At 45.7% G+C, this 15,650-nt stretch overlaps 1 protein-coding gene across 1 annotated transcript in view, besides 2 other annotated features; it reads left to right on the forward strand.

Annotated features, from left to right (window-relative positions):
• Window positions 1-230: a silencer, noted in NCBI's record as "silent region_419". NCBI's record gives its function as "represses an Ori minimal core promoter by ATAC-STARR-seq in GM12878 lymphoblastoid cells {active_cell/tissue: GM12878}" and the evidence as "EXISTENCE:reporter gene assay evidence [ECO:0000049][PMID:35858748]".
• ELOA (elongin A) overlaps window positions 199-15,650 on the forward strand; it is an 18,589-nt gene continuing 3,137 nt past the window's right edge. The window contains exons 1-10 of the mRNA NM_003198.3: window positions 199-306; window positions 5,749-5,805; window positions 6,570-6,676; window positions 7,573-8,758; window positions 9,135-9,246; window positions 10,828-10,983; window positions 11,091-11,188; window positions 12,571-12,751; window positions 13,002-13,113; window positions 13,681-13,853. Coding sequence (NP_003189.3) covers window positions 232-306; window positions 5,749-5,805; window positions 6,570-6,676; window positions 7,573-8,758; window positions 9,135-9,246; window positions 10,828-10,983; window positions 11,091-11,188; window positions 12,571-12,751; window positions 13,002-13,113; window positions 13,681-13,853 — 2,257 coding nt within the window. The 5' untranslated portion in view covers window positions 199-231. The remainder of the gene's footprint in view (window positions 307-5,748; window positions 5,806-6,569; window positions 6,677-7,572; window positions 8,759-9,134; window positions 9,247-10,827; window positions 10,984-11,090; window positions 11,189-12,570; window positions 12,752-13,001; window positions 13,114-13,680; window positions 13,854-15,650) is intronic.
• Window positions 381-860: a silencer, noted in NCBI's record as "silent region_420". NCBI's record gives its function as "represses an Ori minimal core promoter by ATAC-STARR-seq in GM12878 lymphoblastoid cells {active_cell/tissue: GM12878}" and the evidence as "EXISTENCE:reporter gene assay evidence [ECO:0000049][PMID:35858748]".

Raw genomic sequence — 15,650 nt, forward strand, 5'->3', positions numbered from 1 at the left:
GCGCGCACACTTGGGCCAGGGGCGCGAGGAGTGCGCGGCCGCCGGGTGGGCGCTGGGGAGCGGGCCCTGGGGGCGGAGCCTGCAGCCCACCGCCCCCCACACACCCCAGCCGAGGCCCGGAAGGGGCCAGGCGCGCTTCCGTCTCCGCCGGGGATGCACGGAGGGCGGAGCTGCGGCCCGAGGACGCGACGCGAGCCCAGTTCCGGCGAGGAGGCCGCGCCAGTGACAGCGATGGCGGCGGAGTCGGCGCTCCAAGTTGTGGAGAAGCTGCAGGCGCGCCTGGCCGCGAACCCGGACCCTAAGAAGGTAAGCGAGGGGGCGGCGCGTAGCGGGATGGGCGTTGGGTCGGTGAGGGCCCCGTAACGGTCGCGGCCCGAGCGTGGCGGGGTTCGGGGGCTGGGACCCTGAGCCAGGCCCCGCGGGGCTGGGGTCGTGAAGTTCGCGGCCATTGACCGCTGCCCGCGCGTTGGGACCCCGTGCGTCGGGCGTCGGGACGCGGGGCCCCGGCCGCTCCCCCTCCCTCACGGGCCCGGGATGGGGGCGCGCCCGGTGCGGACACCGCGTGCCTAGCGCTTCCTCCCAGAGGCGCTCCGTGGCGTCCCGAGCCAGCTGTTTCCTGCGGGAGAGCGTGCCCGGGGCGGGAGGGCGCTGGCCGCCGCCTCGTTGGCCTCCCGGTGCCTGCGCTGGTGCCCGGCTCCCCGCGGAGCGGCGCGGACTCCCCAGCGGGTGCGTGTTCGCTGGGAGGAGAAGACGGGCGCCCGAACGCTGCGGAGCCTGGACTCGCGGTCTGGTCCGCGCCTCTCGGAGACGCGGTTACTACTCTCCGGCTGGATATCAGAGCGTGGACCTTTCGCTTTCTCAGTGAATCCCTTTCAAAACAGAATAAAGCCTCGCGTCACCTAAGCATACTCCTGAAAACTTAGGTTGGAATTGAAAAAGAGGCGGGGGCCCGGGGTTGGAAGTCGCAGCTAGGTTTCCTTTTGGCCATTAATAGGAAGGTAAGAGCTACCGTTTCTCGTTGTTCGAGTGATGGACAACCATTTTTAATTGTAGTTAACTAGTTTTTGTTGTTTATTGTACAAACTGAATATTAAGTTAAACGCGTTCTTGTACCTTTTCATCTTTCTGTCACTCACTTCTCTGGTCTCCAGGAGACAGTCTGGTGGTTGTCAGGATTTTTTTTTTTCTTTTTTTTTTTTGAGGCGAGTCTTGCTCTGGTCGCCCAGGCTGGAGTACAGTGGCGCGATCTCGGCTCACTGCAACCTCCGTCTCCCGGGTTCAGGCAATTGTCTGCCTCAGCCTCCCGAGTAGCTGGTATTGTAGGCGCCCGCCACCACGCCTGGCTAATTTTTGTATTTTTAGTAGAGACAGGGTTTCACCATCTTGGCCAGGCTGGTCTTGAACTCAGTTGTCAGGATTTTTTAAGTGGAAGTACAACGATGAAAAAGCACTTATGTGTTTGGCATTCTCCGTCATCATTCTGGCCGGGGCGGGCAGTTCTAGGAGTTGGAACTCAGTCCTGGTGGAAAAGGAAGTCGTGGAGGGAGGGCTAGGGCCGTGGGGGAACTGCTCTGCTGAGCCTCTTCCTCACCTGCTGCTTCCTAGGACTAACCTGAAAGGCTAAGGTACCAGGCTGAAAGTCAGTGCTCAGAAAACCAATCGTCATTCTTTGGGGTTTTTTTTCTTGAAGAGCCACTTTCTCTTTACCTTGTTCTAGCCTGTTGGAGGTAGGGTTTCTGCAATTCCAAAGGCCGTACACAGCCTCTCACCATCAGACCACTTTTTAAGGCTCTTCGTTCATACCTAGCTCGAAGATTCACTTCCTCAGGAAGCCATTTTAGTTACAAATCTGGGAAAACTTAAAATGCTTTCATTGTGCCATGTTTTCTGTTGCAGCTTCAGTACCGTACCTAGTGGTCAGGCATACTTACAAGTTTCTTTTTACAGTAACCCCTTGTGGACATCTAATAAATGGTCATTATTTTTTAGTACTAGTTTGTTTTCCTGAACACTGTAAGATCTGTGACTGACGTTTGATACCTTAAAGCAGTGCCATATAATAACTACCCACTATTTGTTCTTTATTTCTGTCAGATAAAAATGTTCTATGTAGTGTCTACAGTCATTTTTTTTTTAACTAGAATTTAGATTTGGAAGTAGTTTTTCTATTAGTTGATTTGCATGAAATACAAAATTAGGAAAAGGCTTATTCCACCTCAACCTAGTTGAACTATTAATGATTTTTTTTTTTTTTTGAGGATTTGGGCTCTTTCTAGATAGAAAATCACCCTGAACTTCTAGCTTTGCATTGTGAAGTGAGCATCATGAAGATGAGAAAATGTTGGGAGATCATTTTTGCAAAGGGCATAATAGTCGGCATTCAGATATGAGTTAACTGCAGAGGGAAAATTGCAAGCTGTCATGTTGGCCTTGTTCCTCTCAACCTTCTGGTAACCTAACAAGCTCCTACAGGTTGTATGTGAAATTGCAAGATGATTATATAGCCCTGTTGAATTTACAACCAGATCTTGCTTTCAAACCATTATTAGCCAAGGGTTTGATTCCACACCTGTGTTCATGGATTTTTTGGTACTAGACATTGCTGTAACTCTGTTTTCACTTTTTCATCTGTTATCTTGGCTCACTTAAGGGAGAAGGTATCAGCAGCCTAGGACCACTTGGTTTCTGTTTTTATGTTTCATAGTTCATGGCTGATAAAAATTACCTGTCCTTAGGCCGAGTGCAGTGCCTCACACCTGTAATCCCAGCACTTTGGGAGGCCGAGGTGAGTAGATCACCTGAGATCAGGAGTTCGAGACCAGCCTGGCCAACATGGTGAAACCCCTTCTCTACTAAAAGTACGAAAATTAGCCAGGTGTGGTGGCAGGCGCCTGTAATCCCAGCTGCTCGGGAGGCTGAGGCAGGAGAACACTCGAACCCGGGAGGCAGAGGTTGCAGCGAGCTGAGATCGCGCCATTGCACTCCAGCCTGGGCAACAAGAGCGAAACTCCGTCTCAAAAAAAAAAAAACAAAAAAAACACACACACACAGTTGGCCGGGCGCAGTGGCTCACGCTTGTAATCACAGCACTTTGGGAGGCCAAGAGGGGCGGATCATCTGAGGTCAAGAGTTCGAGACCAGCCTGGCCAACATGATGAAACCCCATCTCTACTAAAAATAAAAAAATTAGTTGGTCATGGTGGTGGTGCCTGTAATCCCAGCTACTCGGGAGGCTGAGACAGGAGAATCTCTTGAACCCAGGAGGCGGAGGTTGCAGTGAGCCGAGATGGCACCATTGCACTCCAGCCTGGACAACAAGAGCAAAACTCCATCTCCAAAAAAAAAAAAAAAAAAAAAAAGGATCCTCGTCCTGTGTTACATTTTCACTGTGAAAGCTACCAAGAACATTTTGATGGCAGGTGACATTAAAAATATTTTTTGCTTTTTTGGGTTGAAGGATTGTACAGGGGACAACTGAGATGCCTCAACATGTACCTTGCAAATGTTTGATATTTCTCAGTTGCCTGTTACCAGTTCTTACAAGCTCTATAGTTGGTATCTTGTTTGATAACAGCAAGTTTCGATCCACCTGAGGATGCCCAATGTGCCTTTGCCTTGTTATTGCTTTGTTCTTTCTTGAAATTTACTGAAAATAGAGGGGTTGTGAAGTCCTTTTTTCTCTTGTGTTAGACTAAATGAGTCTGAAAATCTTGAGGGTTTTAGTTTTGTCTGCTTTTAAATCACCCCTAATAACCCAAAGTAAAGCAGAAAGACAGGATTTGTTCTTCCAGTTAGTGCTAGGCTTTGAGATAAACACACCCACAGTGACTTCCAGCCTCATCCTTATATGTTGGCTTTGTAGAGGTCCTGGGACACCTTTGTTCCCTTGGTGACCTCCTTTACTATGTGGGTTCTGAACTGTCTAATGACATCACAGGAGGAGTTTTTCTGCTTTCTTGCAAGTATGCTAAGAAGTATATGTGCTGCCGCTCTATTTTCATTTCCTAAGGACAGTGTTCTGATGTTGGATGCTTCTCCTGGCTTTACTTAACTGTAGTAGACACATTTGACTTTCCAGCTTGTTAAGCAAGTTACCTAACCTGATTGGGTTCAGTTGCAATATCTGTCAAATGGGGAGAATAACATCCACTTTATAGAGTTGGTTAGTGGGAATGAAATGAGGTAACGTGTAAGAGCTTAGTGTAGTAGCTGACACACAATAGATGGTATGTGAATATTCCCAACCTACCCCTTCCAAGGAATGGCATTATGAGAGAACCACTTGTTTTTGACCTTTTCAGTGATTTAAAATTTTCCTTTAAGTGAAGGAATTGGCATTAGTCTTTGCACCCATAGCTTGGGTGGCAAGAAACACAAAATTTTTCCTGAGTTGGATGATGGTGGTGATAGGATTTGAAGTGGGGGATAATTTTCACTCATCTATGAAGGTGAGACTCCCTAGATATGCCACTTGGCCTCTTACTTGATCTCAAGATTATCACTTGTGATCCAATTGCTCTGTCTGGTGACCATGTTAAGTAATGATTGAAGTAGAATGACCAGAAAAACAGACTTGTTACTCCACCTAATAGCAATATGGCATACCAATTATAGTCTGGGCCACACATGGTAAAAGCAGATCTTGTTATATAATATTTAAATGCAAAGGTAACCACAGTTATCTATTTTAAACTACTTGTATTTTGAAGCACTCCTTGTATGGTAAGTATGTTTAGATACACGTAGACATTTCCTAGAGAAAGGTTTGGCCAGTCATAACTTTTGTTAGAGCAAGTAGGAATTGGCTGAGGAATATCTGGTTGAAGATCAAGGGCAGAACGCTGAAAGCTGTCAGTCGATGAATGAAATGATAAGTATTTAGTGAGCTTTCATAGTGTTCTAGACACTATGACTAAGGACTGCACATGGTTTGTCTCTGAATCCTCATAGTTTGTGAAGTAGAGACAGGACCAAGTTCCTATTTTGCAGATGAAGTAACTGAAGTTTGGGGAGGTTTTTGACTTATTCAAGATCACTCATCGAGTGACAAAGCCAGATTGTCAAGCCTGTCTCTGACTCCAGAACTCCATCTTAACAGCTCTGCTGTACTGATTTTGACCTAGTTTTAGGAACTATAGGAAGGAAATGTGATCAAACCCAGATCACTTTTCTAATCTACCCAGGCATTTTGTGTCCACCGTTAACATCCAAGCTCTGATTCTGGCAACTTGAAATTACTCTTGGCTTTACACTTATGTAGAAGAAAACAATTCTGTTAAACACTGTGGCCCTTCTGGAAACATGATGGTCTTTTCCTGTAGAGGCCTTTTCTTCCTTTTACTTCCTCTGTGCCAGGTCCATGGGTAATTCCCCTAAAATTGGTACCTTTCTCATAAATTCTATCAAAACTAGGGCAAAAATGATAGTTGTTGATGGCTTTTATCAGAGTTGGTAAGTTTTGATTCTCTTCTCTACATCTTATTTCCCCTTGGTGTAGCACAGTGGTTGAAAGCAGGGAATCTAAAGCCACAGACCTGAGTGAATCTTGCCCCACTTGCATCTTGGGACAAGAAACATAACTTTTATGAGCCTATTTTCATACTTGTAAAATAGGGATATTACTTACTACTGTAAATAGGCATAATACTTATACTCATTACTGTAAATGGTTAGCACTAAGCACTTAATAATCAGATATTCTTGTTAAAGTGAATTTGACTATTGAAATTAATGTTTTCTTCTCTGCAGCTATTGAAATATTTGAAGAAACTCTCCACCCTGCCTATTACAGTAGACATTCTTGCGGTAAGAACTGTGTGACTTTAAATATTATATAATGATATCCCATTCCCTTCTCACTGGAGAGTGTGTAGAATAAGGTTACAAGTATGGGCTTTGGAAGTGAAAGAAACCAGACACAAAAGGCCATATATTGTCTGATTCCATTTATATGAAATGTCCAGAATAGGCAAATCCATAGACAGAAAGTAGATTAGTGGTTGCCAGGGGCTAGGAGAATTGGGAGGAACAGGATTTCTTTTTAGGGTAATGTAAATGTTCTGGAATTAGATGGTTATAATGGTTATATAATATTGTGAATGTTCTGGAAACCACTGAATTATGTACTTTAGTTAAAGTGGTGAATATTGTTAAATGACTTTATTTCAAAATTAGAATTAAAAGAACATTGACTTTGGCATCAATTAGTCCCAGATTCAAATCTGAGTTCTATGACTTTAGGCTGTTCCTATGTAAAATGGGTCTGATTCCTGCTTCACAGGGTTATTGTAAAGACTGATTCAGAACTGTATGCAAAGCTCTTATCTTAGTGCCTAACACCTGCCCTAATCACTCTTGTTATTAAAGTTCTGAACTTGGTACGCTTTGCTACTGTGTGTCATTAGAGATTTGGGGCATAGACACAAAGTAATTTAGTGTTAAGATTTGCAGGGTATGTTGTAGGAAGGAAGTATTGCTTGTTGAGTTTCTCAAAGTAGAAAGCCTTATTTCTTTAGAAAAACGTTAGCCTAGTTCCAGACCCCTCTAACAATTACTTTGTCAAATTTTAGGAGACTGGGGTTGGGAAAACAGTAAATAGCTTGCGAAAACACGAGCATGTTGGAAGCTTTGCCAGGGACCTAGTGGCCCAGTGGAAGAAGCTGGTTCCTGTGGAACGGTAAGAACATTTCTCTTTAGGTTTGTTCAATTTCATGGTTAAATTTACAGATAGAAAAGGTTTTCTTTATTATTTCTCTTTTGCCTTCTGAAATTGTTTTGCCTCAATTATAAAAAATAATCCATGATCATTGTAGAATATTAGAAAATATTAAAAATAGAAATCAAAATTTCCTATTTCTATCACGCAAAGACAAACGTTATGAACATTTTGGTACGTTTCTTTTTTTTTTTTTTTTTTTTTTTGAGACAGAGTCTCGCTCTGTTGCCCAGGCTGGAGTGCAGTGGCGTGATCTCGGCTCACTGCAAGCTCCGCCTCCCAGGTTCACGCCATTCTCCTGCCTCAGCCTCCTGAGTAGCTGGGACCACAGGCACCCGCCACCACGCCCGGCTAATTTTTTGTATTTTTAGTAGAGACAGGGTTTCGCCGTATTAGCCAGGATAGGATGGTTTTGATCTCCTGACCTCGTGATCTGCCCGCCTCGGCCTCCCAAAGTGCTGGGATTACAGGCGTGAGCCACCGCGGCTGGCCTGGTATGTTTCTTTCTAACTGCTCCTTAAATGGCATTTTTTTAAGTTGTGAACTAGATAAATAGTGAGCAGCCCCCATTTTATATAACAAATTAAACATGTCCCCATGTTTTAATAAATCTCCACATTTTCATGTATATGAGATATTTGATCTTTGCATCTTGTGGTTAAACTCACCATTTCTCATTTGGGTTTTCCCAGTTTTAAGATTTGAGTATCTTTAAGCATAACCTACTTATCTTCTTCTTAAGACCTTGTTGTTTCTAACTCTGCATCTTCACTTCTTTGGTGAGTTCAGATTCTGTGACTTTGTCCCTCAAGAAGCAAGATTTAGACCTACTTTGTCTGCTTTTTCTTTTATTTTAGAAATGCTGAGCCTGATGAACAGGACTTTGAGAAGAGCAATTCCCGAAAGCGCCCTCGGGATGCCCTGCAGAAGGAGGAGGAGATGGAGGGGGACTACCAAGAAACCTGGAAAGCCACGGGGAGCCGATCCTATAGCCCTGACCACAGGCAGAAGAAACATAGGAAACTCTCGGAGCTCGAGAGACCTCACAAAGTGTCTCACGGTCATGAGAGGAGAGATGAGAGAAAGAGGTGTCACAGAATGTCACCAACTTACTCTTCAGACCCTGAGTCTTCTGATTATGGCCATGTTCAATCCCCTCCATCTTGTACCAGTCCTCATCAGATGTACGTCGACCACTACAGATCCCTGGAGGAGGACCAGGAGCCCATTGTTTCACACCAGAAGCCTGGGAAAGGCCACAGCAATGCCTTTCAGGACAGACTCGGGGCCAGCCAAGAACGACACCTGGGTGAACCCCATGGGAAAGGGGTTGTGAGTCAAAACAAGGAGCACAAATCTTCCCACAAGGACAAACGCCCCGTGGATGCCAAGAGTGATGAGAAGGCCTCTGTGGTGAGCAGAGAGAAATCACACAAGGCCCTCTCCAAAGAGGAGAACCGAAGGCCACCCTCAGGGGACAATGCAAGGGAGAAACCGCCCTCTAGTGGCGTAAAGAAAGAGAAGGACAGAGAGGGCAGCAGCCTGAAGAAGAAGTGTTTGCCTCCCTCAGAGGCCGCTTCAGACAACCACCTGAAAAAGCCAAAGCACAGAGACCCAGAGAAAGCCAAATTGGACAAAAGCAAGCAAGGTCTGGACAGCTTTGACACAGGAAAAGGAGCAGGAGACCTGTTGCCCAAGGTAAAAGAGAAGGGTTCTAACAACCTAAAGACTCCAGAAGGGAAAGTCAAAACTAATTTGGATAGAAAGTCACTGGGCTCCCTCCCTAAAGTTGAGGAGACAGATATGGAGGATGAATTCGAGCAGCCAACCATGTCTTTTGAATCCTACCTCAGCTATGACCAGCCCCGGAAGAAAAAGAAAAAGATTGTGAAAACTTCAGCCACGGCACTTGGAGATAAAGGACTTAAAAAAAATGACTCTAAAAGCACTGGTAAAAACTTGGACTCAGTTCAGAAATTACCCAAGGTGAACAAAACCAAGTCAGAGAAGCCGGCTGGAGCTGATTTAGCCAAGCTGAGAAAGGTAACCCCTTCAGCCCCTTGGTGGCTTCCCACCCAGAGCACCTGGCCCTGCAGAGCTCAGAGGATTGCCCTGCCACTGTTTTCCTTAGCTTGCTTTTGGGGGGCATGTTGAATTTCAGTGTGCAGTAATTTCCTCTGGGCTTCACTGGTTGTCAGGGTATATGGTACCGCAAATAAGAATTTTCTGCATTATTCTCTTGTGATGGGCTCATCTGTATTTATTTCCTGACTGAGGTGGTGTCAGACATGACTGTGGCCCCCTCCAACCTGGATCTTCCTGTGCAAGATGTCCAGTTAATGCTCCCGGGAATAGACTGTAGGAAAGAGAGCTGTGCTTCTACTCACTGACTCTCCACCCATGGGTCTGTCCCCTGCAGGTGCCTGATGTGTTGCCAGTGTTGCCAGACCTCCCGTTACCCGCGATACAGGCCAATTACCGTCCACTGCCTTCCCTCGAGCTGATATCCTCCTTCCAGCCAAAGCGAAAAGGTAATTTTCTATATCTTCTTTTTCTTAATGGGAAAAAGATTTAAAAATTCATTCAAGGCAGGGTACAGTGGCTCACACCTATAATTCCAGCACTTTGGGAGGCCGAGGTAAGAGGATTGCTTGCGGCCAAGGGTTCTAAACCAACCAGGCGTGGTGGCTCACTCCTGTAATCCCAGCACTTTGGGAGGCCGAGGCGGGCAGATCACCTTAGGTAAGAAGTTCGAGATTAGCCTGGCCAACATGGTGAAACCCTGTCTCTACTAAAAATACAAAAATTAGCCAGGCATGGTGGTGCGTGCCTGTAATCCCAGCTACTCCGGAGGCTGAGGCAGGAGAATTGCTTGAACCTGGGAGGTGGAGGTTGCAGTGGGCCGAGATTACGCCATTGCACTCAAGCCTGGGTGACAAGAGGGAAACTCTATTTCAAAAAAAAGGAGTTCTAAACCACCCTGGTCAACACAGCAAGATGCTGTCTCTACAAGAGAAAAAAAGTAGCCAGGCATGGTGGCACATCCCAGGTACTCGGTAGGCTGAGGTGGGAGTATCACTTGAGCCCAGGAGTTCAAGGCTGCAGTGAGCTCTGATTGCATCACTGCACTCTAGCTTGGGTGACAGAGCAAGACTGTTTCAAAAACAAACAAAAAAACTATCACCATAACATCAGATTTTTGATGCATTTCCTAAGTGCATAGACTCTGAAGTTTGATGGCTTGGGTTTGAATCCCAACTCTGGTTTCTGCAAGTTATATGACCTTGAGAAATATCTTAATTTCTTTGGACCTTAGTTGTATATATTGTGTAAATGGGAGTTATAATGGTATCTGCCCCATAGGGCTCAGTTTAATGAATTCAGAAGTGATGCCTTTTTGCTCTGGGTTTATCACATAGTAATTGTTCAGTAAATTGCTGCTGCTGTTATTAGCAGCCCTTTATCCTATGTGTTACATAGGATTTTTGTCTGAAAGAAAAAAATGTCTAATTTTCATAGCAAAAGAAGTAGAAGCCACATAAGGGTCTATCAGCAGGAGACTAACAGATAAATCATGGTTCATCTACACAGTGGCATCCTATGCCACAGTAAAAAAAAAATGTGGAAAGTCTATGCACTGACATGGAATGATCTCTCAGATGTGGCAAATGAAAAAAAGCAATGTATGTAGTGAGTATGTTATTAATTGATTCATTGGCTTAAAAGGAATAAGATACATTTGCTTTTTTTTGTTGTTGCTGTTGAGAGTCTTGCTGTGTTACTCAGGCTGGAGTGCAGTAGCTCCATCTTGGCTCACTGCAGCCTCCACCTCCTAGGTTCAAGCAATTCCTCTGCCTCAGCCTCCTGAGTAGCTGGGACTACAGGTGCATGTTGGGCAGGCTGATCTCGAACTCTTGACCTCAGATGATTCATGTGCCTTGGCCTCCTAAAGTGCTGGGATTACAGGAGCTTATTTTTAAATTCTCTGGAAGGATCTACAAAAATCTGTAGCGTGGATTGCCATTGGGAAAGGGAAGTAGGAGGCTGAAGGGGGTAGAAGGAGAGTTTTCACTGGATCACTTAGGGCCTTTTGTGTTTTTCTTGCCCTATAGCGTTCTCTTCACCCCAGGAAGAAGAAGAAGCTGGATTTACTGGGCGCAGAATGAATTCCAAGATGCAGGTGTATTCTGGTTCCAAGTGTGCCTATCTCCCTAAAATGATGACCTTGCACCAGCAATGCATCCGAGTACTTAAAAACAACATCGATTGTAAGTCACACGCTTCTCTCTAGCTCTCAAGCACATTGTAGCACTTGGACCTTATCACTGGGTGGCTTGGCTGCTACTCAGTGTCTTCACCTTTGGTTTCTCTGCAGCAATCTTTGAAGTGGGAGGAGTCCCATACTCTGTTCTTGAACCCGTTTTGGAGAGGTGTACACCTGATCAGCTGTATCGCATAGAGGAATACAATCATGTGAGTATTCTGTTTGGGTGGGAAGAGGGCAGTTTTCTGGCTTGTACCTCCAGAAATAGCTTTGTCCCTGTGACTCCGCTGTGGCTGAAGGGCAGATCAGTGGTCAGAGCATTGTTCTGGATATATTTGGTTTGCCACTGGGCCTTTAAACAAGCATGTTATTAGCACTTGCTCCTGGCACCTTAAGTGGGCCTCTTGGGCTAGGATCAGGGTGGGATTCAAAGGGAGAAGAAAAACACTTAACATCTCCCTTGAGCTTGCCTAGTCATGAAGGTAAAGGGAGAATTCTGGCAGCAGAGTAGCTGGGACCCAGGGCGGGGAAAGCACTTTGTGTTGACACTCTGACATCTGGTGATTGGCTGGATGTCTCTTAAGAAACATCAAGATTTATCCAGAATCCTCCTTAGGATGTAGGGTATACACATTTGATTGCATCAGCTGTCTCTCTTTAATTCTGAAAGTTCTATGACCTAACACCTTTTTTTTTTTTTTTGGAGATAGGGTCTACCTCTGTTGCTTCGACTGCAGTACAGAGGCCTAATCATGGCTTACTGCATCCTTGAACTCCTGGGCTTAAGTGATCCTCCCAAGTAGCTGGGACTACAGGCACATACCACCACAGCTGGCTAATATTTTTATTTTTTAGAGAGATGGACTCTCAGACTCTTGGCCTCCTGAAGTGCTGGGATTACAGGCATGAGCCAACGCGCCTGGCCAATAACTTAACATCCTTCTTAGGTTGCCCCTTTGCCATCACAGTTCAGCGTAGTGTTGGGAAGTACCTGATTTGACTTGATCGCAGTTCTACCCTTTGCTGATTTTCTAAAGGAAAAGACTGATGTTACACAGATTTTTGTGATATTCTGTCACAGCCACCAAAAGCAACTAGCATAGTGCCTCACACTTCGCATTTTTAAAATTTAGGGAGTTATTTTTTTCCTAGAATTGTGGTATTTTAACATACTACTAAGATGAAGACCAAAAAATTTTTGGGAAACTGGTCACTCCTAGGTAATTAAATAATCAGAAAAAGATATGAGGCTGGGCATGGTGACACACGCCTGTAATCCCAGCACTCTGGGAGGCCAAGGTGGGCGGATTATCTGAGGTCAGGAGTTCGAGACCAGCCTGGACAACATGGCAAAACCCCATCTCTACTGAAAATATAAAATAGCTGGGCGTGGTGGTAAGCACCTGTAGTCCTGGCTACTTGAGAGGCTGAGGCGTGAGAATCGCTTGAACCCAGGAGGCAAGGGTTGCAGTGAACCAAAATTGCACCACTGCACTGCAGTCTACACGACAGAGCAAGACTCTGTCTCAAAAAAAAAAAAAAAATATGGAAAAGTGCTTGTACACAAATGATGTCCTGGTTCTGGTTTCAGGTATTAATTGAAGAAACAGATCAATTATGGAAAGTTCATTGTCACCGAGACTTTAAGGAAGAAAGACCCGAAGAGTATGAGTCGTGGCGAGAGATGTACCTGCGGCTTCAGGACGCCCGAGAGCAGCGGCTACGAGTACTAACAAAGAATATCCAGTTCGCACATGCCAATAAGCCCAAAGGTAACAGAGACGGGAGAGCTGGGGGAGAACTGGCAGGATGAGTGTTCTGGTCAATAGCAGGGTGTTGGTGGGCTTGGCTGGTGTAGGACTGCTTGCCCCTACATCAGGTAGCAGGGTGGGTATTTCTTCTGCCACCGCCCATTCTACCCTACAAGTGGGGTTTCAGGGCACTCAAAAAGCCCGTGGATTATTTAAATAACAGTAGCATCTCTGCTCAAGAAGGCAGATGTTCATCTCCATAATTCCACAGGCCGACAAGCAAAGATGGCCTTTGTCAACTCTGTGGCCAAGCCACCTCGTGACGTCCGGAGGAGGCAGGAAAAGTTTGGAACGGGAGGAGCAGCTGTCCCTGAGAAAATCAAGTAAGATCTGTGTTCTTACCTGGCTTTTGTGTGCTATCAACCCTTAGAGGTAGCCATAGCGGCAGGAAGCAAATTGCTTTTGGTGAAAGTGAGGCAGTGCAGACTGTGGGCTCTGGAGGCAGACCTCATCAGCTCAGCACTTCCCTCACCTCCCTCAGCCTCCGCTTCTTGGACTGCAGTGCAAGGTGATAATTACCCCTGCCCTAGGGTAGTCAAGATTAAATGGAGAGCAAAGCCTGGCTTATGGGAAACATTCCCTTATGCTTTCCCTTTTCCCATCTAAACAAAAAACACATTTCTGCAATGATTGTTATTTTGTCTAAGCCACATTAGCCTTTTCAAAATACAGATTTATACCAAAACAGTGAAAAGTTAGTTGAGATTATCATTTTTTCTGAAAGGATAATGGAGACATCTCTGAGCCACCACCAGAATCCAGGGTGATAGGGTCCATTGGTCAAAGCCACAAACAGGGTGAGTCATCCTCACACAGGCCAGCTTCAGGCTGTTCATGCTCAGGGCAGATTTCTTGTGCTCATGCCTAACCAGTGTTGTCCTGTGTTGCAGGATCAAGCCAGCCCCGTACCCCATGGGAAGCAGCCATGCTTCCGCCAGTAGCATCAGCTTTAACCCCAGCCCTGAGGAGCCGGCCTATGATGGCCCAAGCACCAGCAGTGCCCACTTGGCACCAGTGGTCAGCAGCACTGTTTCCTATGATCCTAGGAAACCCACTGTGAAGAGTAAGTAACTTGGAGTTCCTGCTCAAATATTATTTCAGCACTAGTTTTTAACTCTCAATGTCATTATTCACTGTATTACATTTTGTGGACTGCATGTTGCATGTACATGATGCCTTGCACATAGCTGGTCTGAATGTCAGTCCCTCCTTCCCCCTGCTTTGTCCATAGTGCATTATATCTCTTAAATAGTTATAGTGAGTCTGGGTGCAGTGGCTCATGCCTGTAATCCCAGCACTTTGGCAGGCTGAGGCAGGAGGATCCCTTGAATCCAGGAGTTCAAGACCAGCCTGGACAACATAATGAGACCCTCTACAAAAAATTAAAAAATAGGGCATAGTGGTACACACCTGTAGTCCCACCTACTCAGGAGACTGAGGTGGGAGGATTTTTTGAGATGGAGTCTCGCTCTGTCACCCAGGCTGGAGTGCAGTGGCACAATCTCAGCTCACTGCAAGCTCTGCCTTCCAGGTTCATGCCATTCTCCTGCCTCAGCCTCCCAAGTAGCTAGAACTACAGGTGCCCACCACCATGCCCACCTAATTTTTTCTATTTTTTAGTAGAGACGGGGTTTCACCATGTTAGCCAGGATGGTCTCGATCTCCTGACCTCGCGATCTGCCCGCCTTGGCCTCCCAAGTGCTGGGATTACAGGCGTGAGCCACTGTGCCCGGCCGACCCTGTCTCTGGAAAAAAAAAAAAAAAAAAAGTGAAAGTAGAAAATAGTATCTGGCCAGGCATGGTCCCTGTCTCTATTAAAAATAGAAAAATTAGCCCACCATGGTGGCATGTGCCTATAATCTCAGGTACTCGGGTGGCTGAGACAGGAGAATTGCTTGAACCTGGCAGGCAGAGGTTGCAGTGAGCTGGGATTGTGCCACTGCCCTCCAGCCTGGATGACAGAGTGAGACACTGTCTCTAAATAAATAAATAAATATCATTGTGAATGACCATTTTGGCACTCTTCTTTTTTCACCTAAATATAAACTGACTTCTCTAGGCAATACCACAGTGTTCATAATTACTAATATTAACAGCTAAATGACAGGCCCTCTTACTGTTTTTTTATAGTCTTATAACTCTAGCTTCCAAATATTTATTCTTTATATCTAATTGGGTCTTCCAATTTATTTATTTATTTTTTTTTTTTTTTTTTTTTTTTTTTTTTTGGAGACAGAGTCTCACTCTGTCGCCTGGGCTGGAGTACAGTGGCGTGATCTCGGCTCACTGCAACCTCCACCTCCCAGGTTCAAGCGATTCTCCTGCCTCAGCCTCCCAAGTAGCTGGGATTACAGGTGCCCGCCACTAAGCCCAGCTAATTTTTTGTATTTTTAGTAGACACGGGGTTTCACCATGTTGGCCAGGCTGGTCTCGAACCCCTGACCTTGTGATTCGCCCGCCTCAGCCTCCCAAAGTCCTGGGATTACCAGCGTGAACCACCATGCCTGGCCGGGTCTTCCAAATATTTATTCTTTATATCTAGTTGCGTCTATTTTGTATTTTGTTAACTTTATTACCATAGACTATCCCCAGTATCCTAAGGGGATGTCCTAACTTAAGTCTTATTCTGTATTAATTGCAGGGCCCATGGGAGGGTGGGAGTCCTGGCTTGAGCTACAGCTATGCTCAGATGAACCATTCAGGAGGCAGGCTGGCCTTCCTTAGGCAGTACTTGCATAGCCACCTTAGACCTGTTTCTACACTGGACAGATTGGGGGTAGACGTGCTGTTTACTGGTTTGGCTATTTGTGAGGCAAAGTTAAGTTATGACTGAGTATGGCCTTTAGAGTCTGGCAAGGGC

Source organism: Homo sapiens, chromosome 1 (genome assembly GCF_000001405.40).
Source record: "Homo sapiens chromosome 1, GRCh38.p14 Primary Assembly".
In the NCBI taxonomy this organism is placed as follows: domain Eukaryota; kingdom Metazoa; phylum Chordata; class Mammalia; order Primates; family Hominidae; genus Homo; species Homo sapiens.